A 16,129-nucleotide genomic window follows, 5' to 3' on the forward strand; every position below is an offset into this window, starting at 1 on the left:
TTGAGGGACTCTCTTTAGAAAAAAGAATACATAATTATAAATATTGAGTGATCTTGGTCTGATATAGTTTGAGGGACTCTCTTTAGAAAAAAGAATACATAATTATAAATAAAAAATTATGTGTTGGGCCCTGAATATTAAGCTTCATTAATCTCATGATAACCCACCTCATATTACAATGTAGCAGTATGGATTTTATGTGCACAATTTATTCTTTTTTATTTTTATTTTATTTTATTTATTTTTTTCGAGACTGAGTCCCACTCTGTTACCCAGGCTGGAGAGCAGTGGCACAATCTCGGCTCACTGCAACCTCTGCCTCCTGGGTTTAAGCGTACACAATTTATTCTTTTTGGAGAGATGTGGAATCTGTCCTCAGCATATTATATGTTTGCTTTGAAATTAGCTGATGTTGGCCACACACAGAAAAATAATATTCTAGGTATTTTGAGAGACTTTTTGATGCCTCATAATCATATTTGGATTGTCCTGCATATATTCATAAAAATAAGAAAGTGCTATTTAAGTGATTAAGTAGGAAGCCAAAGAAGTAGAGTTAGGAATAAATTGCTGTAGTGTTTCTGCACATGGAAGATATTCTTTACGTAGTTTGATATTTATATTCTGTGATATGGTATATAAAAATGAAGTACCCATCAATAAGTTTCCTATAATAAAAGTGTCTGTAGTTACTCAGGTAGGAATAAATAAATTAAAATGAGGTTCACTGACTAGTCTCTATTTGCAGAGTTCATGAAGCTGCTTTATTTCATACCCAAAATTGTTGTATCAATAATAGCTTTTGTAAGTCACAACATTATGCTAATTGGATATATTTGTTGATAAAGTAAGAATTTATTTTTATTTTGATATGAATAGTGATCACTTTTTGCAGAAAGAAGTTTTAGACTTGATAATTGATGTTATTTTATTTTATGCAAGTACCTTTATATATGTCAATTACATGAATTTGCTTGTAGATGGAAAAATTTTCAAGATTACTCAGTACATTAGGTGAACAAGGATCATTATTAGAGAGAGAAAAAGGGAACAACTTTGAGTTGACATCAGTAAGGACAGATATAATTTTCCCTAAGGCAGGTTTAGAATCATGTAGTAATTTCACTTCAAATGTATAGTTTCCTCAGAGTTTCTAGTTAACTACATGGTATTAAACACAAAATACAGGTCCCTACTGAAGTCATGTAAAAATAACAAAGGGACAGGTACATGAAAAAGCAGACAAATAGAATTATGCAAACAACTTGTATTTGTTCTATAATAGTAAAGGAGCAGCAAAACCAGTTCAGACCCTAAGTTCAATGTAGCTTCTGTCTCCTTTCACACCATTTATTGTGCTGAATTGCTAATAACAAAGTGAATAGGTATGCCCCTTTTCCTGTTTTATTTTTATTTACTCCTGGGTGTCTTTGTTGAGGATTTAATACTATAAAATGATAAAAAGATAGGCATAGTCAACTATTAAATAAATTAAAGTTGATCCATTCTGTTTTTTATCCTTTAAGTTTTTTCAAATCAAGAAAAACAAAACACCATGAAAAAGAATGGGAGGTATTGACAAGTTCCCTCAATTTAAAAAGTTGGCAGTTGAGTTAAAGAGAAGCTGAGTGACACAGGTAAGCCTGTGTTACATGTCGGTGAGACATATTGGACCAGAAACCAAGCTTCTCTATTCCTACTCCACTAAACCTTGGTGTCTCATTTTGTCTTCTTGCAGGGAAATATTACCAGAAAATAATTCTTGAATGTAAATATATATTTAATTTAATCATGAGGTAATGGAAAATACTGCTAACTAATAATAATAAATTCAAGAAGCTTAAGAAAATTGCACTTGAGAAAAAAGGTGCTAGCCTTAAGTTTTCCTACATTTGGAATTGGAAGTGACTTTAGGGAAAATCTAATGCAGAGCAGTTCTATTATTTTACAAATACAGAACAATGAAGATTAGTTAAGTGATTTGCCCCCAAACAATACAAATAGTTCTAGAGCAACTATGGTAAGGCAGGTGTAGTACAGTGGTTAGGAACCTGTACTTGAATGCCAGGCCTCTTAGAATAAAATCTTCTCTTTTACATCAGTTATTTGACATTGGGCAAGTCATATAACCTCTTTGTACCTCATTTTCTTATCTGTTAAAATGGGGATGGTAGTAATTAGTAATTGATAAATATGATAACTAAAAAATTAAAAATTATTGTAAAACACTCAAATTACTGTCTAGCTGGCATAAATAAGTGCTTAATAAATGTTCCTATTACTAAACAGCTTTGATCCAATGCTGTATTTAAATAAATGCTATCTATTTTGGTTAACTAAGAAACCTTTTATGCCTTGATTTGCCCAGACTAGACTAGACTAAACTTGCCTGGACTAGACTCTAATGTCTAAAATTACCATCTAGTCTTTCTTTTTTTAATCATATAATTGTTTGATTTGTTCCATATTTCTGTTTAACTTTAGAAAAAGTATGTTTTTTGTGTCACCATCTGCTAAAGGCCTTTTCAACTTGATTTGCTGGATAGTTTTAATATTCTTTGACTAGTGAGGCAAGTGAAAAACAAATTTACCTCATCTTTAAAACATGTTTAACAAGGTGGCTGTATTTTATCATTGCCATTGCTGTTTTGGCTTTTATTAAGAGCAATGACTAAAAATAACATTTTATTTACTGTTTTTTAGCCCATGTACATATATTTTGAATGATTTAACTGCATAATAGGTACTCAGTGAGTTTCACTTTTTCATTTGCTACTTGTTTACTAGTGCTTCGGTTCACCTTTAGCATCAATGATCACATCCATTTAAAATTGATTAGACAGTTTAACTTTGAATTTAACACTGGATATGGCTAAGAGAGATAAGTTTTTAAATAGGAGTGTGAAGCCTTAATTTTGTGCTGCTTCTCATGTCAGTGGAATCAGAATTTTGTGTTTCTTCTATGAACTGTGGAAATCTAGAGCTGTATTGTGAAGGATTAGCACCACAGAGATAAACAAGTTTTCCTGGCTTCTCATAAAAGCTCAAATCTCTAAAATCCCTGAGGATTGTGAATTAACTGCATTTAGATTCTTTCAGATATTAGTGTCTTGGGCTTCAGAGTCTGAAGTTCCAGGATGGTAATATTCCTTGCTATTGACCACATAGTTTGCCAGAGAGGAAAACTTTTCGTTAATATTTAGGTGTCAGATTATTCCATATAGAACTATTTTGCTAATATTATGACAGTTAAATTTCCATGTCCTCTATTTCTAACTCCTAACCCTTGGAGTAATGAGAAGCTGTGAGAAAGTGTTAGTATCAGGAGGTTTCAGTACCCTTGTAGCTGGTTCAATAAATGTAGTTTCATCATTGGTGAAGAATAAAATAGTACCTCATAAAACTTTCTTGAAAAATGAATTGGAATGCCCTTAATAAAGAAGTACTGTATATGGATTTCAAACAAGCCCAGGAATTATAATCACAGAATAATTAGAGATTTTAAGATCCAAAATCGGGGTGAAATGCCATTTGGATACTATGGTTATTGGGGAACTTTGCTTTTTTAACCATCTTTATTAATGAGATTAAAAAACTGTAAAAAATGCAGGTAACTAGGAGGTGCTGTAAGTATAACTGTAAGAGAAATAATTCAGAAAGCGGGGCTTAAGGATTAGATGCATAGAAAAGAGGTAATAAAAGCGAAATATTCTTTAAAAATAAAAATGAGAGACCTGTGGAAAGAAATAATACACCAAGCAGGGTGGCAAGCTATAAGGTTAAAGGAGACCCTAAAGGCAGGAAATTAGATGTGATCTGCAAAGTGATTTAGTTAAAAGAAACAACAAAACAAAAAGGAGGAGAGCATATTTGAGAGAGAAGCATGAGGTAATTTAGAGATTATTTATACTAAAATATCATCACATAAAAATTAGGACATTATTACCTTTTTCAGTATGTATGGATTTACTCAAAAATACTTGAATATATCTGGACACTAATGAATGTCAGAAAAGTGGGGGGGGTTTCAAAAGAAAAAAATTCATTAAAGATTACTAGAGGCACTGATGTTCTGGAGTGAGTTAGAAAAGTTATGCATTAATTAGACCAAGGATAGAGTGAATTAATAATTGCATTTTATATTAGTGCATTGTTAAATCATATAACATTTATTGTCTACTACATGCCAGATGTATTAGATGTTTTATGTGGCTGCATAACCTCATTTCATACTCATTTACCCTATGAGGAAACAGGCTTACAGGATTGTTAACATTTACTCAAGGTCAAACAACTCCATGTAGCATAGCTAGAATTCCAACCCATGTCTGTCTGACTAGTAGGTGCTCTTAGCCACTCTGTAACTAATCATTGTGTACTTATGTATGTGGGATATAGCTATCAACATAGGAAATTCATTGGGATATTAGCATAATGGAGGTATGTAATTTGTGATAAATGTTCAGAGGTTTCCAAACAAATGCAGTTTACCTTACTGTAAATTAAACTTAAAAATTTGTACGGGCCTTTGGCTTAATTCAGAGATCTGCCCATGGGGTTCTATTACTTTGCTCTTTAACTTTGTTCGATCCTTCTTGGATCAGTCTTGCAATTCATTCTTGTCTTTTCCTGAATAACATCTATGTTTTGCCCTCTTTTGAGTGCTATCTTAATATGCCAGCCTATTTCTACCTTTCTTGTGCAGGGTAGCATAATTTTTACTTTCCATTATACCTCAGTCCCACACCTTGTTGTCTGTTTATTTCAATACCTAAGATACTTATCCTCAGTTCCTAGCATACTTTAGTTCTGAAAGTTGGATATCCATAATTGTAGTGGTCTTAAATCTGTAAAACACATATGGATGGGAAACCACTGAATAATGTAAATAAATATGAATAACGATGATAAAATAAAAATAATAAAAATAACTGAGTTCAATGATATTAAAAACATAAGTCAGTTTAACTATTTTTTTTTTGAGACAGGGTCTCTGTCACCAAGGCTAGAGTTCAGTGGCATGATCATGGCTCACTGCAGCCTTGACCTCCCCCGGGTCAGGTGATCCTCCCACCTCAGCCTCCCAAGTAGCTGAGACTAGGGGTGCATGCCACCACACCCAGCTAATTTTTGGATTTTTTGTAGAGACAGGGTCTCACTGTGTTGCCCAGGCTGGTCTTGAACTCCTAGGTTCAGGTGATCCTCCCATATCAGCCTCCCAAAGTGTTGGGATTACAGGCATGATCCACTGCACCCAGCCCAATTGCCCTTTTTTATAGATAAATAAGCTAAGGCTCAGAGAGACTAAATGATGTGAATAAAAAGTAGGTAATTAAAGAAACATGCAAATCTATATTTTTCTTCCAAGTCCATGGACTTTTCCGTTACTATATATCATGCTCTCTCCCAGTTTAGTTTCTTGTTGGGCTTCTAGTTTGAATATTGTGTTATACGGGTGAATGTTATGTTATATGGATAATAAATACTCAATGTATAATTTCACATGGTACTGGGTCTTAGACTTGTTTAATTAATTCATTAATTCCTAAAGTCTAAAGTTAAATTGAATGAGCTTCTAAGAAAAATGTATGTTAACCTACACCTTTGCTGATTTTGATGCCCATGGAGAAGAGTCTTACCTAGCCACAAGGGAGGCTGAGGTAGGAGAATCACTTGAGCCTGGAGGTTGAGGCTGCAGTGAGTCATGATTGTGCCTCTGCACTCCAGCCTGGGCAAGAGTGAGACCCTGTCTCAAGGAAACAAAACAAAACAAAACAAAACAAAACAAAACAAAACAAAAAACAAAACAAAAAACAAAACAAAACAGAAGAGCAATTGAACTATATATCAAAAGGGTTTAAAATATCAGTTCTTGGAACTAGTGCCAAGTCATAGAGAAGTTTTCATTGGCCTTCTGTTAAATTAGACAAATCCAGAAAATTTAGTGAGTTCTTCATAAAGTTGAATTTATTCACTTTAACACATTGTATTATTCTGAAATTAAATATTTCTACATTTGATGTTAAAATATAATTTTTCAAATTACGTTGTAATTAGAATATGGTTTTCTTTTTGCTCTTCACAAAATCAAAACAATTCTCTTATTTTTGTTGAAATTTTGGTAGTCTGTTGAATGAAAAGATTGAGAAATATTGACTAGACCTCTAAAGCCATACTCAGAAAGAGGAGTATATAAATCTATAACATAAAAATAGTAACTCTGCTATTTACTCTTATCTACTAATATTATAATAAACTGCATAAGAATAATCTGGTGAATGCTGCCAGAAATGTCAAGTTAAAAAACCAAAAAGGATGAAAAGTTTAAAAGTCTGATAAAAAACTTACTGTTCTTAATATATATTAAAGAATTTCCAAGTAAGATGGTACTTTTGGGCATGAGCATCAAACTATCCCCTCCATAAGACCTGGGCCAAAATGAGTAAGAAATGAAAATAGAGGAAAACTCTTCTTAACAATAAAACTTATGTAAGGATTCCATCAACATTATACTCCCTGAGTAATATGTGTCATATAATTTATCCATGGAATCCCATTGTAAAAGTTTGTATTCCTCCTCCTCCTCAGAAAATCACACAGTATTGCAGGAAAAATAGTAAAGAAGCTCTTGGAAGATCTGTGCTGTCACCCTGTGATTGGATAGAGTGAAGGATGGACAGCTAGCAACTTCACTTGGAATTTTCCTTGTTGCCATGGATTAATAATTATTGAAAGCAGATATGCTAGGGGCCACAGAAAGTGAAGCTTTATCTCCTGATGGTAATGAGGCTTACCTCTAAAGTGGTAAGACACTTCTCCATGGGAATCAGCAATTCAAGGGAAGAATTCAAACTTAGTTACAAATTGTAACTGGAAGAAAAAGTCAGACCAGGCAGAATACTGGTAGTAGAAAGCCAGCCCCTGATTAGTAGATTAACCAAACCAAGAGAATAAACTAATATGAAGTTTCTTTGCTGTGATTCTCCATATCTCTAGTTCTTTTTTCTCTTCACAGACTTTAAAGTCTCTTAACTAGAAAAATGAAACTTATGTAACTACCCCTTCAGATTAAAATCTAAGAGGAAAATTTTAATAGCATCCTCTTGTAGGAAAAGAGGAGATTTAAGTAGGATCCATCAATCCTATGCTAGACCTAAAAACAAGAAGTTTCTAGGTCTTCCATATGATGAAAAAACAAAATGAGACCTACCTAAGAAAAAACAAAATGAGACCTATCTATGAAACAATTCTACAGAGAAATAGGTGGAGGAAAATTTACCAATAAGAGTCAGAAAAATGACAATTCTGTGTTTTTTTAACAGTAAAACTAAATTTTATAGATTCTGATTTGTGTTCTCAATAAAATTCAAGATTGGGTTTAATGAAACAAAGATGAAAGATTAGTTAAGATAATAAACTAATATATAAAGAGACGTAATTGAGAACAGGAGAGAACATTAGAAAATTAATAATGTTATACTAATTTTAAAATTCCATTAGTAGCAAAGAGTGGAAGCCACACTGGAAGAAAATCAGAGAGATGGGAGAAACACTTAGAATTTTTCTTTCAGAATGTAAAGGAAAAGATACAGATGAAAATAAATGATGATATACATGGAGGACAGAAACAGATCCAATATACAGATACTGGTGGTTCCCAAAGAACCAAACTGAATAATCAAGCCTTTATTCATGTATCGGAACAATACAAGCAAGAGACAAAAAGAAGGCCCCAGTGTTTAATTTCTTCCCACAGAACTGCACCAGGCAGGAGTCAGGTGGATGTAATGAAAATGGTTGTGGTGGTGGTGGTGGTGGTGGAATCATTGCTAAGGAGGAGTTAGAGTGGAGAAAAATGCCTCAGCCAATCCACCCTACCCCGCTTTAAGAAAGTGTTGGCAGAGGTGTCCTATAGGGAAGAGGTACCTGGGCTAGGGAATGCAGTTCATTTTTTAATAAAAATTTAAAAATTGCTCTAAAATCTTAAAGTATGCCATGAGAAATTAAAAGTAAAAGTATTTCAGTTTCTTCATTTTACATATGGAAGGTTTGATAAGTATTTTTTCACTCTTGATATTGGAGAAAAATAACTTCTAGTAAAAGATGGGATTTATAACTTCCAAATTACGGTAGAAAAGAGATTTCAAAGAAAATACCGTCCATATAGTGAAAGACAGAAACTAAGGAAAAACAAGGAATGTAAAAAATAATATCTCATAGAAAAGAAGAAGCAATGTAAGTTAAATACTCCTAATAAAAGGCAAAAATACTCAAATTTAGCCAATATAAAAGATGCACCTAAAAAGTTACTTTAAAAAGATTTAAAGCAAAAAGTGAAATAAGATGGAGAACTAACAATTATTCCACATGCATACAAATTAAAATAAAGCAGGATGCAAAAGTATTTCAAGATGTAATTAATATAGGTCTCAGTCTATTTTCTGTTGGTATAACTGAATACCCAAGACTGGGTAATTCATTAAAAAAAGAAATTTACTTCTTGTAGTTCAGGAAGCTGAGAAGTCCAAGGTGGAGGGCCTCTACCTAGCTAGCTTCTGGTGAGGGTCGTGTGCTGTGTCACAGTGTGGTAGAGAAGCAAGGCAAGCAAACATCCAAAGAAACATGCACTAGAGGCTGGGCTAACTTTATAACGACACTCTTTCTCTGAAACTAGTCCGCTTTCTGCTAGGGTGAGAACTCACTCCCATGAGATGGCATTAATCTATTGATGAGAGCAGAGTCCCCATGATTCAAACACTTCCCACTAAGGCCTCACTTCCCAATGCTGCCACCTTGGGGACCAAGCCTCAACATGAGTTTTGATGGGGACAAACCATAGCAATATATTATACTTATTAAGTAAGATAAACTGGTCATTTTTAATTTAAAAAGCTGTAATCCCTAATGAAGACATAACTCTCAAGTACATATACCTCACACTATGGCATCAAGATATGTAAAGCAAACATTTGAGACACATAAGGAGAAATTAGCTGAAACACAATGGTAGAAGAAAACCTCAAGAAGGCAAAAACAAAATAAGGGGAGTATCTGAATAGTTTTCCTTTTGTGAATCATGCTTTTAAGTCAGAACTCTTTGCTTAATCCTAGTTCCCAATGATTTTCTCCTTTTATTTCCCTAAAACATTTATTGCTTCATGTTTTACAGGTTTTGATCTGTTTTGAGCTAACTTTTGTGTAAAATGGGAGGTTTAGGTCAAGATTCACTTTTTGCTCTTCTAAGATAAAATAAGATTTTAATTTTTGCCTATTGAGATATATATATATGTTTTAAATAACAGTATATAGAATTGGTAAGGGTGCAAAAAATGCGCACCCTAAAACTGTAATTGGGAATACAGATTGGTAAAAACCAATATGATTCAACATTTGCACTTCTTGGGATTTCTTCAAAGATAAAAAAATAGATATGCCCCCAAATGTACTTAGAATAGTGTTGATTAAAGTCTTATTGCAGGAAAACACTGGAAACAATCTAAATGGATGACTGATTAATAGAATAGAATACAAAAAGATTGCAATTATATGTAGCCATGTGAAAATGTGCATGATAAATTATTAAATAAAAAATAGGTTACAAAACAATATGTAAATGTTATTAATAAAGTGATATTTGTTTTTTCCTAAAAGTTCCAACAATGTTCAATGTTACCACTAAGAGTATTTTTATTTTGAGAGTTTATTGTAAAGCAGAGAATAGTTTTGGTGTTTTGTTGTGGTTACTATTTTGAGTTTTATTACTATCTTAATTAGTTTTCCTTTCACTGAATTTTAAAGTATTACAATATTTCAAAGTTGTTTTTAATGAAGAGGAAAGCAGTTTTCCCTCAGCATACTGCATCTCTGACTTTGTAATGGAAGTTATTAAAACATACATTTGTTTAAACACACATACACGTAATTACAATTATAAAATAGTTGTATCTATTCTTTGTTAGAGGCTTTTTAATCACTAAAACTTTAGGAAGGAAATAAAACATGAGAAAGTTGCTCTTGACTGCTACTTTTAAGGGAGGTGAACCTAAAACCTACAATTTGTTTCTTAGAAAAATGGCTTAAGGCTTATTATTTAAACTAACTACCATCATTACCTTTGCAAACACTCTTTATTTCGATGGAGTCATTTAGGCCCTCTTAGCTACTGTAACTAAGATTTTAGTTTGGCTTTTATTGTAGCACTCAAGGAAAGATATTATGTAGAAGAAAAATTATTCATTGTTTTCAAGGCAAAACTGGTGGGACTAAGGAGCAATGGTGCCCAGAATATGATCAAAACAAGGAAGACTTCAATAAGTTAGATATGTTCTATTACAGTATTTGCCAGAGCACATCTGGTTTATTAAGAGACTATTTTAATTCTTATTTCAGATAAAACTGCTTTTTTGGATTAATCAAATTGGGGTATCCACTTCATGCAGTAATCTTGAAAGCCAAGTAACTTTTTTTACTGATTTATCTTTCATAGAGGTAAATACTTTACAAATCTCAGATTCTAAGGAATTTAGTTAAAATAAGAACTTTGATAGTTAGTTTGTCTCAGTATGAAGCTATTAAAAGAGAAATATTATGTGGTTATATGTGTATATTGTATATTCATCAGGTAAATACACATGTATACATCTATAACGAGAAGAGAATTATTATGGTGAATGATTTCTATTGTGTAATATGGCCCTAAATTAGAATAATAATTGTAATTAGTAGTGTTTGTTTAAAATCGACTTTTTAATTCTTGAGAGAGAAGGGGAAGAAAAGAAAAAATATGGAAGTGTGAGTAATCTCTACTACGGAATAGATAATTTATAGAATATATTTTTAAAAGAAAAACCTCAGCCAAATTAAATTTAAAGTTTAAATGAGCAATGGATGATTCGTGAATCGGGCAGCCTCCAGAATCACAGCAGATTCAGAGAGTCTCCAGGGATGCCATGTGGTCAGAACAAATTCATAGACAAAAAAAATAAATAAATAAAAGGAAGTGACATACAGAAATCAGAAGTGAGGTACAGAAACAACTGGATTGGTTACTGCTCAGCATTTGCGTTACTTGAACAGTTTGAACACTCAGCAGTGTGTGAGTGGTTGAAGTATGGCTGCTGGGACTGGCCAAGACTCAGCCATTGTTACAGGCGCATACTCTTAGTTAGGTTTTCAGTCTTGTTTACCTATTAAGTTAGGTTTCAGTTCATCCACAAGGACTCAAATATAGAATTATGGAGTCTTTCTCAGGCCATATTTAGTTTGCTTTAACAATATTGACAATAATTTACTGATACATAGAAATTCATAAATTCACCACAACAACACTGGTTTTTTTATGCATAGATTGAGGTATGTGACTTTGAAGGTAGGTGTAAAATGGGCTTATTATCCTTTTGTACACTTAAAATGTTTTAGTGAGTCTAAATCCTTTCAAGTTTCTCTTGATACAGAGCTTATGATATGTGCTTATGCATCTTCCTAAATACATGAAATATTTTAAAATTGCTTTCTTTTTTTTTTTTTTTTTTTGAGACAAGGTCTTACTCTGTCCCCCAGGCTGGAGTGCAGTGGCACAATCACAGCTCACTGTATCCTTGACCTCCTAGACTCAGGTGATTCTCCCACCTCAGCCTCCCAGGTAGCTGGGACTACAGGCATGTGCCACCACATCTGGCTAATTTTTTGCACTTCTTGTAGAAACAGTGTTTCGCCATGTTGCCTAGGCTGGTCTCTAACTCTTGGGCTCAAGCAATCAGCCCGCCTCAGTTTCCCAAAGTGCTGGGATTACAGGCACGAGGCACTGAGCTGGCCAAAAATTGCTTTCTTGAAATGTTTAAAAGTCACATTTGAACTGAGAGTGAGGGGATACATTTTAATGAAATTGTATCTTAAGCTTTGTACCTGTGAACCCAAAAGTATCTGAGACAGGTGTTAATCAATTTAAAAAGTTTATTTTGCCAAAGTTAATGATGCCCTGGTGACCTCAGGAGGTCCTGACGACATGTGCCCAAGGTGGTCAGGGTACAGCTTGCTTTTATACATTTTATGGAGACATAATTCTTCAAGCAATACATGTAATATTTACATTGGTTTTATCTAGAAGGGCAGTTAAAACCATGGCGGGGGGGCTTCCAGATCATAGGTAGATTTAAAATTTTTCTTATTGGCAATTTGTTGAAAGAGTTATCTGTAGAAAGAAATATCTGGATTACTAAGGGGTTGTGGAGACCAAAGTTTTATCATGCAGATGAAACCACCAAGTAACAGGCTTCAGAGAGAATAGATTATAAATGTTTCTTATCAGACTTGAGGTCACAGGCAGTAAAGGGTTAAATAAGAAAGCAGGAGATAAAGCACATTTTTAAAAAATATAAATACATGGTAAACATTAGAAGAAAAAAACAATTTTTTTTCCTAAATACTTAAAGAAATGAGAGGAAAAGTAAACCAAAGAAAACCCAGGTAGAGGAAGACACACAAGCACAACATAATGCACACAGTAATTGAAACATAAATATGATACATTTGAGAAAAACATCAGTAATATTAGTAAATGTAGACAGGCCTAATTCACCTATTATAAGTAGAAAAATCATTTTTAAATTTGCCCCTCAAGGAAAAAAATCCAACTGTTTGCTCTATAAAAGAGAGATACCTAAAACGTGGTGATTCAGAAGGCTAAAAAAAGTCAAGGAGAGAAGCTATGCAAAGCAAATAGAAGTAAGAAAGCAGGAGTTGCCATCCTGATAACCAGACAAGAATTCCAGCCAAAAACACAAAGAAAGACACTTTTAGATGATAAAAGCCATAATTCACAGTGAAAGTACAGCACTTAATATTTATGAACCAAGTTATAAAGCACTCACATTTAAAAGCAGAAGCTATAGGAGATGGAAGGACACATGATATTGAAGTATCATGGTGATAAAAGATTTAACACAGTACTTTCAGTCCGAGACAGCTAAAATGGACAAAAATGAGGAAAACATACTAAAGAATTTAATTGATAGATCTTACAAATCTATCTCTATCTACATTTATACCTATACCTTTAATCCCTGATAGTAGAGAATGTACCACATATGGAACATTCACAAAAATAAATCAAATATTAATTCACAAAGCATCACTAAATTTCATAAAGTAGAACAATTACAGACAACACTTCGATCGTATGCAGTAAGTAAAGCTGGAAATTGATAGCAAAATAAAAAAATTAAAATGTACCTCCACCTTGGGGGGAAAAGTTCTATTAATAAAGTCTTGAGTGTAAGAGGAAACAAAACTGAAATTACAGAATTTCTTTTTTAAAAATTATGAAAACCCTATGTGTTACAATCTAAGATATGCCTAAAGTACTGTGAGAGAAAGAGGATAGGTTGAAACATTTATTACCAATGGGGGGCAAAAACACCGCATGTTCTCACTCATAGGTGGGAATTGAACAGGATGGCACTTTATTCCTAAACACTAAATTGTATATTTCATTAGAAAAATATTCTCTTACACAACCAAAGTATAATGATCAAAATCAGAAAATTACGACTACCTAAGTAAGAAAGTTGCATAAAAGTTAATCTAGTGGTTTTGTTAAGAACTAGTTAATCTAGTGGTTTTGTGATGAGTAGCTTGAAAATGAAGATTTTTAATATAACAAATTCTTTCTAGGCTTGAGCTTTATATTGTTCCCAATGGGAAAAATATAATTTGAGCAAAGGTTTTCGCTTATAATAACAGTAACATTTTTTCTCTCGAATTTTAACAATCAGAATGAAAAAATCCAAAAAACAAAGTATTATGTTCTGTGAAATAATCATTTGTGACTTTAAGGTTGAAGAAGATAACGATAGTGGAAGTTTAAATGCAAAAAATATTAATAGTATCTTAGATAGTGTTACTATATTGAAGTTGTGTTTCCATTAAATTGAATCAAATGCAAAATAGCTTTATTTTTATCTACATGATCCTAAATAACAATTGTAACTATTTTTTTTCACTCAGTTGTGAAATTATGTGGACATAGTTATAATGCAGATGATTTCTACAAAAATTCTACTATCAGAGTTCAGAAAGTTTTTCGTTACTATTACTGATGTTTAAAGACAAGTGGGACAGATTAATGGGTTGAAATGTGAGCTTTTCAAAATAGTACAAAATTACTAATTGCTATTGTTTGAGTGTTTTTTGCCTTTCCTTTTCCCAAGGCCATTATAAGGATTTCACTTGATTTCTTCCCTGTTCTTAACTTTTGAAAAGCTTTAAGCTAGAAGTAATTTGGGGATTCTATGCGACCTGATGGGGAGGAAAGTAAAGGTGAAGTAGTTTTTCCAGGAGTTTTGTGGAGAGGAAATGTGGAGAAATGGGACTGTGAAGAAAGTACATAGGAGAAGAAAAAAGGATTTTTAAAAGTATTGTTCAAGAAATAAAATCAAATAACTTATTTTAAAATTAGTTTTTGATTGCCTTTGAGTTCCTCTGGCTACAACGCAGCTTCAGATGAGACAACATGGGTCAAAGATTTAATGAAGTTGGGAACTGTCAAAAAGTTTGTATCAATGACTGTCATGGAAATGTAGGGGAGGAGAAAACAATCTAATCTGGAAATGGAAGGTATTACCACAAGGTGAACATTCACTGTTGTTTTTTTGTTGAATAACATTTTATTATGTTAAGGAACGAGTTAAGTAATTGATTTATGGCCTAACATTTTTTCTTATTTGAATAACATTTTTTTTTTCTCTCTTGAGGCATTGAACATTATGTTGGCCTGGGGAAAGGGAATGTAGAAAAAAATGGGGTAAAATTTGATTCTAATATGTCTTTCCTATATGTAAAACAAACTTGACATGTTTGTATTTTCTTTTTGTCCTATGATCCATCAAATCCTGCTCTATACTGTTAGCCAAATTGTTAGCATTTTCCCTAAGTGGAAGTGTAATCTTTAAAGTAACTAGTTGTCATATAAATTCTTCAAGATTTTAATATCAGTCACTATGGCAGTCATCTTTTTTCTTTTAGCCTTATTTGTTATTTCAGCTCTCAAAATTAAATTCATCAAGGTTCCACAGATAAAACATTTCTAGAGTTATCCTTAACATAGTAACTTGTAAGTGAACGGTCTTCAGTATTATTTGTATATGTAGTAAAACCATTACATGCTGTTTCTCTATATAATGCTTCCAAAATGAAAGAGGAGGGGGAATTTTTATAGACTGTCACTGCTAGGTCATGGACTTTTAAAGAAATGTTTCCTTCATTTGGATGGGCCCTTTCATTATCAACATGTCTATGAAATTATCTGGCTTAAAACACCTGATACTACTTTAGAGCAAAATTGATTGGTCATGTAGAAAAATAGGCTCTTGAGGTTTTTTAGAGGGAACCTAACCATATAAAACTAACATGTCATAGATTAGAAAGATAGAGTGTCAGTGTTTTTGTGTTCACTCTGTGAAAACAAATTGGAAACATAAATGGAAAAAGTAAAGATGATAAGGAGTAAGTCATCTCTACTTTTTATTGGTAATAAATCCATTAATTGGAAATAAATTGGAAAATCCATTAATTGGAAATTAACTTCCTGTGCATTGTTTTCTTGCAGGGAACAAATCACAAGACAGTGGCATAGCAGAGATGGAAGAACTTCCTGTACCACATAACATCAAAATAAGCAATATAACGTGTGACTCATTCAAGATTTCATGGGAAATGGATTCAAAATCAAAGGATCGCATTACACACTATTTTATTGACCTCAACAAGAAAGAGAACAAGAACTCCAATAAATTTAAACACAAGGTAAAATCTAACAAATACTCATGCTAATTTGCATCTTAAAACTTTCTAAGTATGAGGACATTTTAAAAGAACGAATAATATTCTATTAATGGCTTATGTGATGTATTTGACTTGGGAAAAAATAAAGATTATATGTAACTCTAAAACCCTATCATTCTAATAAGTTTTGTAAGAAAATGAAATGCCATGCTTTTTGTTAGAAGATAATTTTCAAAAAAAGGTAAAATCATGACTATCATCTAGATGTAAAAATTAGTTTACCTTAAAGATTTTATTTAACTTATTAACGAGGAAACCGATGAGGTGTTATAACCAGTTCAAAGGGAAA

General features: G+C 32.8%; 1 protein-coding gene across 6 annotated transcripts in view; it reads left to right on the forward strand.

Annotated features, from left to right (window-relative positions):
- PHYHIPL (phytanoyl-CoA 2-hydroxylase interacting protein like) overlaps positions 1–16,129 on the forward strand; it is a 74,174-nt gene that overhangs the window by 45,103 nt on the left and 12,942 nt on the right. For all 6 annotated transcript variants that reach the window (XM_017016783.3, XM_011540276.4, XM_011540275.4 and 3 more), the window contains one exon: positions 15,605–15,801. In XM_017016783.3, coding sequence (XP_016872272.1) covers positions 15,637–15,801 — 165 coding nt within the window. In that variant the 5' untranslated portion in view covers positions 15,605–15,636. The remainder of the gene's footprint in view (positions 1–15,604; positions 15,802–16,129) is intronic.

The sequence above is a fragment of the Homo sapiens genome, chromosome 10 (genome assembly GCF_000001405.40).
Source record: "Homo sapiens chromosome 10, GRCh38.p14 Primary Assembly".
Lineage (NCBI taxonomy): Eukaryota > Metazoa > Chordata > Mammalia > Primates > Hominidae > Homo > Homo sapiens.